Source organism: Homo sapiens, chromosome 1 (genome assembly GCF_000001405.40).
Source record: "Homo sapiens chromosome 1, GRCh38.p14 Primary Assembly".
In the NCBI taxonomy this organism is placed as follows: domain Eukaryota; kingdom Metazoa; phylum Chordata; class Mammalia; order Primates; family Hominidae; genus Homo; species Homo sapiens.
The window spans coordinates 17,304,519-17,316,829 of NC_000001.11; the positions used below are offsets into that span (position 1 = coordinate 17,304,519).

At 51.3% G+C, this 12,311-nt stretch overlaps 1 protein-coding gene across 7 annotated transcripts in view, besides 2 other annotated features; it reads left to right on the forward strand.

The window, feature by feature from the left end:
* Positions 1-861: an enhancer, noted in NCBI's record as "H3K4me1 hESC enhancer chr1:17631014-17631874 (GRCh37/hg19 assembly coordinates)". NCBI's record gives its function as "activates a minimal SCP1, AML or CMV promoter by ChIP-STARR-seq in naive H9 embryonic stem cells {active_cell/tissue: H9 hESC(naive)}" and the evidence as "EXISTENCE:reporter gene assay evidence [ECO:0000049][PMID:30033119]".
* The window catches only part of PADI4 (peptidyl arginine deiminase 4), a 55,808-nt gene continuing 47,175 nt past the window's right edge, over positions 3,679-12,311 (forward strand). For all 7 annotated transcript variants that reach the window (NM_012387.3, XM_011541151.2, XM_011541150.1 and 4 more), the window contains exon 1: positions 3,679-3,796. In NM_012387.3, coding sequence (NP_036519.2) covers positions 3,705-3,796 — 92 coding nt within the window. In that variant the 5' untranslated portion in view covers positions 3,679-3,704. The remainder of the gene's footprint in view (positions 3,797-12,311) is intronic.
* Positions 11,391-11,948: an enhancer, noted in NCBI's record as "H3K4me1 hESC enhancer chr1:17642404-17642961 (GRCh37/hg19 assembly coordinates)". NCBI's record gives its function as "activates a minimal SCP1, AML or CMV promoter by ChIP-STARR-seq in primed H9 embryonic stem cells {active_cell/tissue: H9 hESC(primed)}" and the evidence as "EXISTENCE:reporter gene assay evidence [ECO:0000049][PMID:30033119]".

Below are 12,311 nucleotides of genomic sequence, written 5' to 3' on the forward strand. Positions count from 1 at the left end.
ATCCTGAGCCGCTCACCATGTATAAGAGAGTTCACTCCCCAACCCCAAAGGTCCCCTTTGGGCTCTGAAAGGGTTAATGCCATCAGCAAAAGAAACAGCCAGGCCGGGTTCTCAGGGATCTTCACAGGATCCTGTCTGGGTCAAGTACTGGGCTGGGTGCTGGGAACACAAACAGCCACGGCGTTAAGCCACCAGTGTTGAGTGACAAGTCTAGGCACTGGCCTTGCTCTCAGGCTAGCTGGGGGATGGGCATTTAAACACAAGGTGTGGCAAATCTCAGGAAAAGAATGAAGCGCTCTGCCAAAAAACTAAAGAGGGGCAAAGATGAATCTACAACATACCTGCAAATAACCACAGACACGGGCACAAGTGATGCATCGCTGCATGGTTTATGACACTGAAAACTTGCAGACAGCCCCCATGTCCAACAGTAGGGGAGCAGCCATGTCAGGATGCAGCTGGAGCTGCAGGCACAGGTGGGGCACGCGCCAGCCCCAAGTCTGTTGGCCTCTCATTCCACTGCCCTTGGCTCCTGCCCTCAGCCCTGCCCATCACAGAGCCCGTGGCCCTTGTTCCACTGTGAGTGACCAAGTGTGTTTCTACAAAGAGGCTTTGCTTCCAAAGTGCAGCCGTTTTCCCTCAGTGTGAGTGAGTGTGTGTGTGTGTGTGTGTGTGTTACAAACCTAGTTTTGCATTGCTCCCTGTGTAATTGCAAATAGCATGCATTCTCTTTTGCATCTCCTCTCCCTCATCACTCCCCTGGGTCTCTGGTGGAGGACCCCAGGGCTCATCCCTCGGCCTTCTCTCTTCCCTATCCTCACTCATTCCCTAGGGGAGCTGGAGATGTTGACATCTCACTGTTTTATCCTTTTCAGCCTGGTCCTGTCTCTTAAGCTCCGGAATCATGTGTTCAAACGTCCTACAGGGCATCATCACACCAAATGACACTTGGCAAAGCCAGGACCAAACTCCTGATCTCCACCATGCCCACCCCCCGCCCTTCCCTCAGCCTTCCCTGCCCAGCTGCGGGCAGCCCCATCCCTCCAGGGCCTCAGGCTCCAAACTGCGGTGTCCTCCTCCATCCCTCTGTCTTTCTTAACACCCCTCATCCAGTCCCTCTGCAACTCCTATTGGCTGTATTGCATCACAAAATGTCCAGAACCTGACCCATCCTCCCCTCCTCCACTGCCACCACGCTAGCCTGAGCCCCACCGTCTGTCACCAGCCTGTGTGCAGCGGCCACCTCACAGGTCTTCTGGCCTCCTCCCGGGTCCCCTACAGTCTGTTCTCACATCACAGCCAGAGTGATCACGTTCAAGCAAGTTGGTTCGCGGTCCTTCTCTGCTCAAAATGACTCCAGGCTCCCCACGTTACTTGGAGCAGAGGCCAAAGCTCTTAGGATGCCCGAAAGGCCCTATATGATCGCACCCCGCCCTGGGCTGCTCTCCCCCTCCCTCACTGCATTTCAGCCACACTGGCCTCTTTGCTCTTTCTTGAACCCGCCAGGCATGTCCCTGCCTCAGGGCCTTTGTACCGATTGCACTGGCTGTTCTCTTGACTTGGAACCTTCTCCCTGTGTTCCTGGTAGCCTTTACCCTGTCCTTTTTCCTTTTTCTACCCCACTAACATACGATAGAATCCACTTACTGCATTTATTGCTTACTGGCTGTCTCTCTCCCAACAAAAACAAACAAACAAAAAGGCTCTATGAAGGCAGGATTTTTGTCCACTTTGTTCACAGCGTATCCACGGTGCCTGGAACAGTGCCTGGCCATCAATAGGCACTCAGTCAGTATTTGTTGAATTAACAAAACTGCTTTGGGGCTCGTCCTCTTTGTGGCTCGTTCACAGCAAATTTAAACCCCAAACTGCTGAAGAAAATAAGAAAGAAAAGAAGGAACAGAAGAAAACAACCTCAAGAGACCTAAGACTTGGGGTAGAGGCCAGCCCTCCCTCTGATTTGCTGTGTGACCGTGGGCAGGTCCCACTCCCTTTCTGTGCTTCAGTCTCCCCTTCTGCAAAACGAGGACTGGATTGGGTGTTCTCTAAGGGCCCTCCCAACTCTAACAATGGACAGCTCCCTCCTGCCACTTCCCAGTAGAAGCTCAAACTAGTTCTAATCATGCGGTCAGCCAGAGAAATTGGGTTTATTAACACTGTGTGCAGGCAGTCATGTAGATGCGTCAGAACGTCGGACCTGGCCACATCATCATCTGCTGGTACAGAAGATAAATTTTGAGCCCAGAGAAGGTGGTCTGAATCCAGATCCCCACTGTAGGGCTTATGAGACCTTGGGGGTCTCACTCAATCTCTCTAAGTCTTTGTGGTCTCATCTACACATGGGCATCCTGATAGGACGCACTCCATAGGGATGTTGAGATGAGGCAGGATTTGAACTAAAGCCTGTTTGATCCCACAGCCTGACTCTGAATTAATGAGGCAAATTCTTTGCTTCAAAGCCAAAGCAAGCAAACAAAAAACAAACGCAAGATATCCAACCCACGAAACGCTCTATGTTCACGCCAGACTCCCATGCATGCACCCTTTGAGTGCTCCTTGTTGGGACCCATCCACCACCCCCCAGTTGCCTCATTAAAGGCAGAGCCTGGCACCAATGGCCCAGGTGCAACCACAGCTCTGAGGCCACATGGGCATCCCCCTGGCAGGCGTGGCCCACACCTGCACTGTCTGGTCTGACACCCAGAGGCCCTGGCAAGAGGCAGGTATCCTGGAGCATGCAGAGAACATCAACTTCCATGCCAGGAAGCTCATCTTCTCTTCCCAGCTCTGCCGCATTCTAGCTCTGGCACCTTGGGCAAGAGCTAGTCACTTTTACTCTCTGAGCCTCAATTTTCCTTCTGTAAAATGGGTTGTAATAATAAGCCCATATACACCTTGTATTGTAGCGAGATGTAGCTGTGATACAGTCTGGAAAGCACGTGTCATATAGACAGGCAGCTAATGAATCTCACACTCTGGAACTGGACACCTTTGGTTCCAATTCTGGCCCTACCACTCTCGAGCTGTGGAAGAACTGCACCTCTGTTTTCTCCTCTGTAAAATGGGTATAATAATGGCACCAACCTCAGAGGGCTGCTGTGAGGGTGAAATAAGGGGATAATGGTATGATCTAGTTCACGGGTTTGTCGTAATGAGCTATTCTATGTGAAGTGCAGGAAAACGTGCCTGGCATAGAGAATGTGAGCTGTCATGTGGGTGGCCCAGGTGGAGAGACTTGTCCCAAGCCTGGTTGGTCTTTGAACGTGTAGCCTGGCCTGTGACTGCTTACCTAAAATCTCCCCGCTTTTCCCACCTTCTCCTCTCTGATATGCCTGTTTGACATAGGTGAGATTGGATAGATCAAGGTGTTCAGGGCCTCTAGGCAGGGATGGGACTGTGGGCATGAGGACCAGGACCCAACCCCTCAGCCCCACTCTCCACCCCAGGCTTTCTGAGCCATCCATCCTTCCCAAGAAACTGACAGAGCCACCCTGCCACTGGTACCAGCATTGACACCCATCTAGAGGTCCGAGGGGCAGCCCCAGGGCAGAGGAGATTTTGAGAGCCCACACCCCTGACCTGAGTGGGGAGGGGTTGAGCCTCTGGGCCACAGACCGCAGGTGCTGACTCATGGCCTCTGCTGGGCGATATAAAGGAACCAGCCCAGGGGCTTCCTACAGCCAGAGGGACGAGCTAGCCCGACGATGGCCCAGGGGACATTGATCCGTGTGACCCCAGAGCAGCCCACCCATGCCGTGTGTGTGCTGGGCACCTTGACTCAGCTTGACATCTGCAGGTAAGAGGGGGGCCTTCTGGGGTTTTGGAGGCAGGTCAGGAGATGCTGGATGACCCAGTTCTACTGACACAGGAGCATGTGTTTGGCCCAGGCTCTAGGCTCCAGCCTCTGCAGCCACTGCCAGGGGAGTAGCTGGAGAGAGAAGACCCCAGCAGCCCTGGGAAGTGCCAGTCTCATGGCTGTGGGTTCTTTGCCATGTACAAGTGCAAATTCCCCAGGAACACACGACAGATAAATTATTATGGGGCAAACCAGGCCATCCATCTCCCTGTCTTCATCGAGGCAACAGAAGCTTACAGAGAGTCTGTGACTTGCTCAAGGTCACACAGCACGTGTGCCCTGGAAGTAAGGTTAGCCCCTGGGCCTCCTGGTTCACAGCACAGTTTGTTACCCCACATCTCTTAGCTAAGCCTCCCTCAGTGGGTGCATAATAGCGTGGGTGGGGATGGCGAAACGGGGCTCTGTGGCGGCAGAGACTGAGGTAGGAAGCCTGGACCTGCTGCTGGCTAGCAAGGAGGCCTTGGGCAACTGAGCCTCAGTTGCCTCATCTGTGAAATGGGGATAATACTCACATCATGGGCTGGTTATAGGAATTCAATGTGAAAAAATGTGCAGATGTTGGCTGAGTACTTAGCACAGTGGTGGGCCCATCCTTGGTAGTTTTTATTTACTCATTTAACAAATGCTGAGTGCCATGCTCTGTGGCAGGGTCTGGGTTAAACAAGAGAGTTGAGGAATGCTCTCGGGGAGTGTGCAGGGTCATTGTTGTTATTGTAGAACAGGAATTAAAAGAAATTTTAAAACGTGTAAGCAAAAACTCAGTTCTATGTTAAAAAAAAAAAAAACAATTTTCCCTGGAAAAAAAAAAAAAAAAGAGCTGGAGTCCCTTAAAAATTAACTGCCTGTTTTTTTGTGGCTAGTGAGCCTTATTGCTCCTCTTTTTCCAGGCATTGTAAAGACCCTGTTTCTCCAGCTGTGCAGCTGCAAGGTCACTAGACAGATAAACTCAAGCTGTAAAAATTTTTTTCCTTAAAAAGTAAAAAATAATATAATGCATGTCTCAATTAAATAACTGTCTTTGTTTCTTGCCTCTATAATATGCTTCCCCCTGCACAGATCTACCCCCGCCCCATGAAATGCTTAAAAGATAACTTAACTCTTTGTTCAGGGCTCAGTCTTTTGAAATGTTAGCCTGACTGAGCCAGTGAATCTAAATAATAAATCCTCCTCAACCCCTCGGTCTCTCTGATTCCTAAATTATCCTGCAACAATTGCTGTTGTCAGGAATAGGAGTGGTTGCCCCTGGCTTCCCCATCCCAGTCTGGGCATCGGTGGCCCTAGAATGGTGCCCACAGGAGTGCCGGGGACATTTCTTTGCTACTGCCTGAGCCCCAGCAGCCAGAGAACAGCAGGAAATGTCGGGATGGTCTCCCAGGGCCACATGGTGGAGGCAGGAGACCAAGAAGTTGGGGAGAAAAGGAAAAAGAAAATCACCTGACATCATCTGAGGCGCCCCCAACTCCTCTGAGAATGGGTGTGAAGGAAATGACAGGAGCTGAAGCTAGCCCAGGGCCTCTCCCAGCATGCCCAGGCTAGCCCTCTACCCAGCGTCCATGAGTAGTAATCAAGATCACAAGTGCTTCCTCTGGCCCTAGAGAGGTGGGTGGACAGCTGGTCAGTGTTGGGCAGAGAGGAAGGCACTGCCCATTTCTCCCAGAAAGGATGGGGACTCCGGAGTTCACAGGGGCCTCTAAATCCTTCTTTTCTCCTCCTTCAGCCACACGTTGAGCCTGTCACTCTATCCCCTGAACATCTCACGTAACAATGGCTAATATTTACATCACACTTCCTACATTCAACTCATTCAATGGCCTTGGGAGGCAGGTAATGTTGTTATTCCCATTTTACAAAAGAGGAAACAGAGGCTCCAAGAAGTTAAGTAACCCACCTCAAGCCACACAGCTAATAAGTAGGGGAGCCAGGACTCAACCCAGGCAGCCTGACTCTAGGACCCTCCATTCTCCCCATGGGTCTCCGTTCCAGACCTTCCTGTCACTTCTTATCTGTTCTTAACATAGCCCCAGACAGCGCCTCCCTCCCATCTCCTGAGCAGCCATCGGCCTCTTCCTGAACCACACAGGTGGGAGGGCCACTCCCTCCTCACCTCCGCCCCTCATATTCATGCCTCCATAACTTTGCTCAAGCCATTCTCTCTGTCCCCAAAGTCAGGAACCCGGGAGGCAGAGGTTGCAGTGAGCCAAGATTGGGCTAGTGCACTCCAGCCTGGGTGACAGAGTAAGACTCTGTCTCAAAAAAAAAGAGGCAAAAACACCTAACCGAGGGTCACATAAATTAAAGGTGGCAAGCTGGGCACGGTGGCTTATGCCTGTAATCCCAGCACTTTGAGAGGCCAAGATGGGCAAATCACTTGTGGTCAGAATTTCGAGACCAGCCTGGCCAACATGGGGAAACCCCGTCTCTACTAAAAATACAAAAAAATTAGACGGGGCGCAATGGCTCACATCTGTAATCCCAGCACTTTGGGAGGCCGAGGCAGGCGGATCACAAGGTCAGGAGATCGAGACCATCCTGGCTAACATGGTGAAACGCCGTCTCTACTAAAAATACAAAAATTAGCCGGGCGTGGTAGCACGCAGCTATAGTCCCAGCTACTTGGGAGGCTGAGGCAGGAGAATCGCTTGAACCCAGGAGGCGGACGCTGCAGTGAACCGAGATTGTGCCACTGAACTCCAGCCTGGGCAACACAGTGAGTCTCCGTCTCAAAAAAAAAAAAAAAAATTAGATGGGAGTAGTGGCACATGCCTGTAATCTCAACTACTCAGGAGGCTGAGGCACAAGAGTTGCTTGAACCTGGGAGGTGGAGGTTGCAGTGAGGCAAGATTGCACCACTGCACTCCAGCAAGGGCAACAGAGTGAGACTCTGTCTCAAAAAAAAAAAAGTTAAAGGTGGCAAAGCCAGGACTGTCTGACCCTAAACCCACCCTGCTTCGCAGCCCACCCTGCCTCCAAATGCTGGGGAGTGGACTCCCCTGGGCACTGCTCCCTGTGGGCAGAGCTCATTCAACTTCCAAAGGATTTGGTAAAGGCCTAGAAGGGGTGGGGGTCCAGGAGGTGCCAACTGCAAAGGGCAGTGTGCATTCAGAAGCTGCCATCTATGGTCTCTCTTCTTCCTCCCAAAGTCTCCTTCTTCTTTTTTTTTTTTTTAAAAACGGAGTCTCGCTCTGTCCAGCCCAGGCTGGAGTGCAGTGGCAAGATCTTGGCTCACCGCAAGCTCCACCTCCCGGGTTCACGCAATTCTCCTGCCTCAGCCTCCCCAGTAGCTGGGACTACAGGCGCCTGCCACCATGCCTGGCTAATTTTTTTGTATTTTCAGTAGAGACGGTGTTTCACCGTGTTAGCCAGGATGGTCTCGATCTCCTGACCTCGTGATCCACCCGCCTCGGCCTCCCAAAGTGCTGGGATTACAGGCTTGAGCCACCGCGCCCAGCCGGGTTTCCTTCTGAATAGACCAGTTGGCATGACAGTGGGGAGCCTGGACAAGTCTGTTTGTCTCTCTGAGCCTCGGTTTACCCATCTGTAAAATGGGAAAATTAACACCCCTTCCTGGGTTACGGCGAAGATTGAATTATATAATGCACACAAAGTGTCTGGCAGAGGGGTCCCCTTTCCAATGCAAATCAAAGAAAATGACTAAAGTGAGTGTCAATCATTTTCAGAGGTTTATTTCCAAGGTTAAGGACGTGCCCAGGAAAAGAATACAGAAACAGGAAAAATCTGTAGTCCGTGCTTTTTCCTAAATGGGTCTGGGACTTCAATATTTAAAGGGAAAAGAGTGGGAATTGGGCCGGATGTGGTGGCTCACGCCTGTAATCCCAGCACTTTAGGAGACCAAGGAGGGTGGATCACCTGAGGTCAGGAGTTCGAAACCAGCCTGGACAACATGGTGAAACCCCATCTCTACTAAAAATACAAAAATTAGCCGGGCGTGGTGGCAGACGCTTGTAATCCCAGCTACTCAGGAAGCTGAGGCAAGAGAATCACTTGAACCCAGGAGGCGGAGGTTGCAGTGAGCTGAGATTGCACCATTGCACTCCAACCTGGGCAATAAGAGTGAAACTCCGCCTCAAAAAAAAAAAAAAAAAAGTGGGTATTGGGGCAAAGAGGAAGAAAGAAAAAAAAGATGGGTAGATAAGAGGTAAGTGGTTGCATTGAGTCTTTGATCAGCTTTCACTGAATACATTTTCCGTGTGAGGTGGGGAGAGGAATAGTCACTTATGCCTTGAGCTCAGGGAATCTATATTGTCACAAATGATAAACATAGAGCAAGGGAAGAAATCAGATATGCATTTGTTGCAGGTAAGCAGAGGGATAACTTTGATTTCTGTCCTTTGTTCCATGCCTGTGAAGATAAGCTATTAACTTACATTGTCAGGGTGAAATTCAACAGAACTGGTTCACGGGAAAGATCTTAGGGCTCACAAGGAATTTCCTTGTCGGCAAATTGTGAGGGAGATATGTAGCTTTTTTTTTTTTTTTTTTAATCTTTGTAGCTATCTTATTTAGAAACAAAATGGGGCTGGGCATGGTGGCTCACGCCTGTAATCCCAACACTTTAGGAGGCTGAGGCGGGCAGATCATGAGGTCAAGGGATGGAGACCATCCTGGCCAACATGGTGAAACCCTGTCTCTACTAAAAATACAAAAATTAGCTGAGCATGGTGGCGTGCGCCTGTAGTCCCAGCTACTCGCGAGGGTGAGGCAAGAGAATCGCTTGAACCTGGGAGGCGGAGGTTGCAGTGAGCAGAGATGGCACCACTGCCCTCCAGCCTAGGCGACAGAGCGAGACTCTGCCTCAAAAAAAATAGAAAGAAAGAAACAATGGGGCCAGGCGTGGTAGCTCATGCCTGTAATCCCAACACTTTGGGAGGCTGAAGTGGGCAGATCACTTGAGGTTAGGAGTTCAAGACCAGCCTAGCCAACATGGTGAAACCCCATCTCTACTAAAAATACAAAAACTTAGCCAGGCGTGGTGGTGCATGCCTGTAATCCCAGCTACTCGGGAGGCTGAGGCACGAGAATTGCTTGAACCTGGGAGGCGGAGGCTGCAGTGAGCCAAGATCATGCCACGGTACTCCAGCCTGGGCGACAGTGCAAGACCTTGTCAAAAAAAAAAAAAAAAAAAAAAAGGAAAGGAAGGAAAGAAGGAAAGAAGGAAAGAAAGAAAGAAAATGGGAGGCAGATTTGCATGACCCAGTTCCTAGCTTGACTTTCCCTTTGGCTTAGTGAGTTTGGGGTCCTGAGATTTATTTTCCTTTGACAGCAGCGAGGACTGCATGAGCCTCTGTGTGTGAGAGTGGCAGACACTGAATGCCACCCTCATGGGGGTGGTTGATCAGGAGATGGCGGATGCTGGAGTTGGAGGAATGATGTCACTGTCTGGGGCTCAAGCTCCCAGTGCTGGCTGTATGGAGGGTGTTGGAAGTTACAAGAAGATTCAGCTCTGGATGGTCTTATGATAACACATGTGGGTCACACGCTTGAGGGCATGCACACACCTGGTGTGAACCCCCAGATGTTTATGAAAGTTCCTTGTTTAGGAGCTGAGAACATCTGGAACACAGCCAGAGGAAGCACACTCATCTTAGAATCGAATCCCAGTGGCCCAGTTCCCAGCTGGCCCTTACCTCTCTGAGCCTCAGTTTCCCCATCTAGCAGAGAGAGTGGCTATAAAGGTGCCAGACCCACCCGTTTGTGCCCTTCTCCCTTCCCCTCTTGAGGAAGCCACATGGGACAGAGGGGGCTGAGGCGGACCTAGCCCCTCGGTCCACCTGCTGTGTGCCCCTCGGCCTCCATTGTCTTTTGAGCCCCTTATTCATCTTCTTGGTGGACCAGACACAGGGCGTGTCCCTCTCCTGTCCCCATCCTCTGACCACAGTGCCCAGGCAGTTGGAAGGCCTGGCTTATCACTGAGGCTTTGAGAGAATGAAGGAAAACAACAGCACACAGAACCAAGAGAATGAGCCTCCAGGCTTTGGCAGAGAAACAAGAGCCTTGGTTAAGTTTTGGTTCGGCCAGGTAGGTGTATCATAAATGGAGGCACCTGAGCAGAAATGCACCAGAGCCACTGGGGCATCTCCTGGCCGGGAACTGCCCCCTGGGCTGAGCTGTCTGCTGCTTCATTTATTGTTATTATTAGTAGCCGTCCCATACTGAGCAGTTACCACATGCCGGGCCCTCCAAACCTTGCAACCACCCAGGAAGCAGGTCGACGTGATTCCCATTTTACAGAGAAGGAAGCTGAGGCCCAGGAGAGGTCAGTGGCTAGGCCAAGGTCACAGAGCCTGTCAGAAGCAGCCCAAGGTCATTGCCTCTCTCACTCCCTTCGAGGCTGCCTGCTGCTCCTGGCCTGGCCTGGGAGACGTTTCCCCGGGGCAGCTGAACCACTCCACCCCAGCTGGTCTGCAGGAGAGTATCTGATCCCAAACTGCTCCAACCAGCTGGTGATGGCTGAGTGCAAAACCACAAGCACATGCTGTGCCCTGGCTGGCTGGTGTAGACAGACTGGCCTGCTGTGGTATGTGGTGTGTTGGGAATTCGTATGTTCCATTCACACTGACCCTGGCAATCTCCCCGAGGCCCAGGTCAGTGCCACCCGGGGTGATGACAACCCAGCCATCCTGCTCCCCACCCCCGTCAGCATGGGAACCAGGCTGGGAGCAGGTGGGAAAGCCACCACCTGAGCTGAGGGGACAGGCAGGGACAGCCATGGCTTGAGTTTAGCAGATGTAGAATGACGTCCTTGTCAAGGAGGACTGGGGGGAGTCCACAAGGGAACCCCAGATTTTCCACCTTGTCCCATCCACCTTTGTCCTCAGCACAAGGTCTGGTACACAGTGAGGGGTGAGTGAGTGTGTGGTGATTGATTGATTGATTGAATGAACGAATGAAGGAATGAGTGTGTGTTTTAAGGGAAACTATGCCTGTCACACAGGAGGTGCTATTTAAGTGTTTGTTGAGTGAATGAAAGAAAGTTGAGAGCAGGAAGGGTGTCATTCCTCTTTGCATCCCCTATAATGTGTGGGACGTACTTGGCACTCAGCTATCATGAAATCTTTTTGCAACAAGAGCAGGCGGAGGATAAAAGGGAAAGAGAGAAAAATTGAGAGGGATATGGAGAGAAAGAGAACATACTCAAAAACATTCCACCATCCTGACATCAGCCACCACCATCCCTTACAGCGCAGGAGCCCCTACATCCCAGGCCACTGGGACATGGTTTTTTGCTTCCATGGCCCTTCGGGAAGGACCCCCAACACTGGCTCCTTTGGTCAAAGACTGCAGTGTGAGTTCAACAGGAGAGAGAGAAGGGGAGGAGCAAGTAAAAGAAAACTTTCTAAAAATCGGTGCCTGCTGTGACCCACACCCTTTTCTCATACCTTCCCTTGTAGCCCTGGGAAAGAGGAATTCTTCCTTTCCATTTTTGGAGAAAATTCTGGGATCCTACACTGGGTTCCCATTCAGGGGCTGCTCTCTCAACCCCCAGTCCCCACCCACGGTGACCTCACAGCCCCCAGGGCTACACCTGTCACTTGAACCTGGCTGCCTCCCTGATGACCCACAGCTCTGCCCTGACCCCTCCTCTCTCGGCCCCTATCCACAGGGTGCCTCCACCCAGATGGCCCGGCAAAAACAAAACCAGCCTGGCTCCCTGCCTTTTCCTCCTCCTGATGAGGAGGCTGCCACCCCCATCTTCCCATTTATGTCGATAACACTCCTGGCTGGATGCAGTGGCTCACGCCTATAATCCCAACACTTTGGGAGGCCAAGGTGGGCTGATCACATGAGGCCAGAAGTTTGAGACCAGCCTGGTCAACATGGCGAAACCCCGTCTCTACTAAAAATACAAAAATTAGCTGGGCATGGTGGTGCACGTCTGTAGTCTCAGCTACTAAGGAGGCTGAGGCGGGAGAATCATTTGAACCTGTGAGGTGGAGGTTGCTGTGAGCCGAGATCACACCACTGCACTCCAGCCTGGGTGACAGAGCAAGACTCTGTCTCAAAAATAAATAAATAGCCAGGCGCGGTGGCTCACGCCTGTAATCCCAGCACTTTGGGAGGCTGAGGTGGGCAGATCACGAGGTCAGGAGATCGAGACCATCCTGGCTAACACAGTGAAACCCCGTCTCTACTAAAAATACAAAAAAATTAGCCAGGCCTGGTGGCGGGCGCCTGTAGTCCCAGCTACTTGGGAGGCTGAGGCAGGAGAATGGCATGAACCTGGGAGGTGGAGCTTGCAGTGAGCCAAGATCGCACCACTGCACTCGAGCCTGGGAGACAGAGTGAGACTCCGTCTCAAAATAAATAAATAAATAAATTAATTAATTAATTAATTAATTAAAATAAATAAATAAATAAAATAACACCCCTGCCCAAAAACAACCCCCCCACCCGTCTCCCCTGCCCCGCGCCCAGCTTCTATCTGTAGCTGCATTTC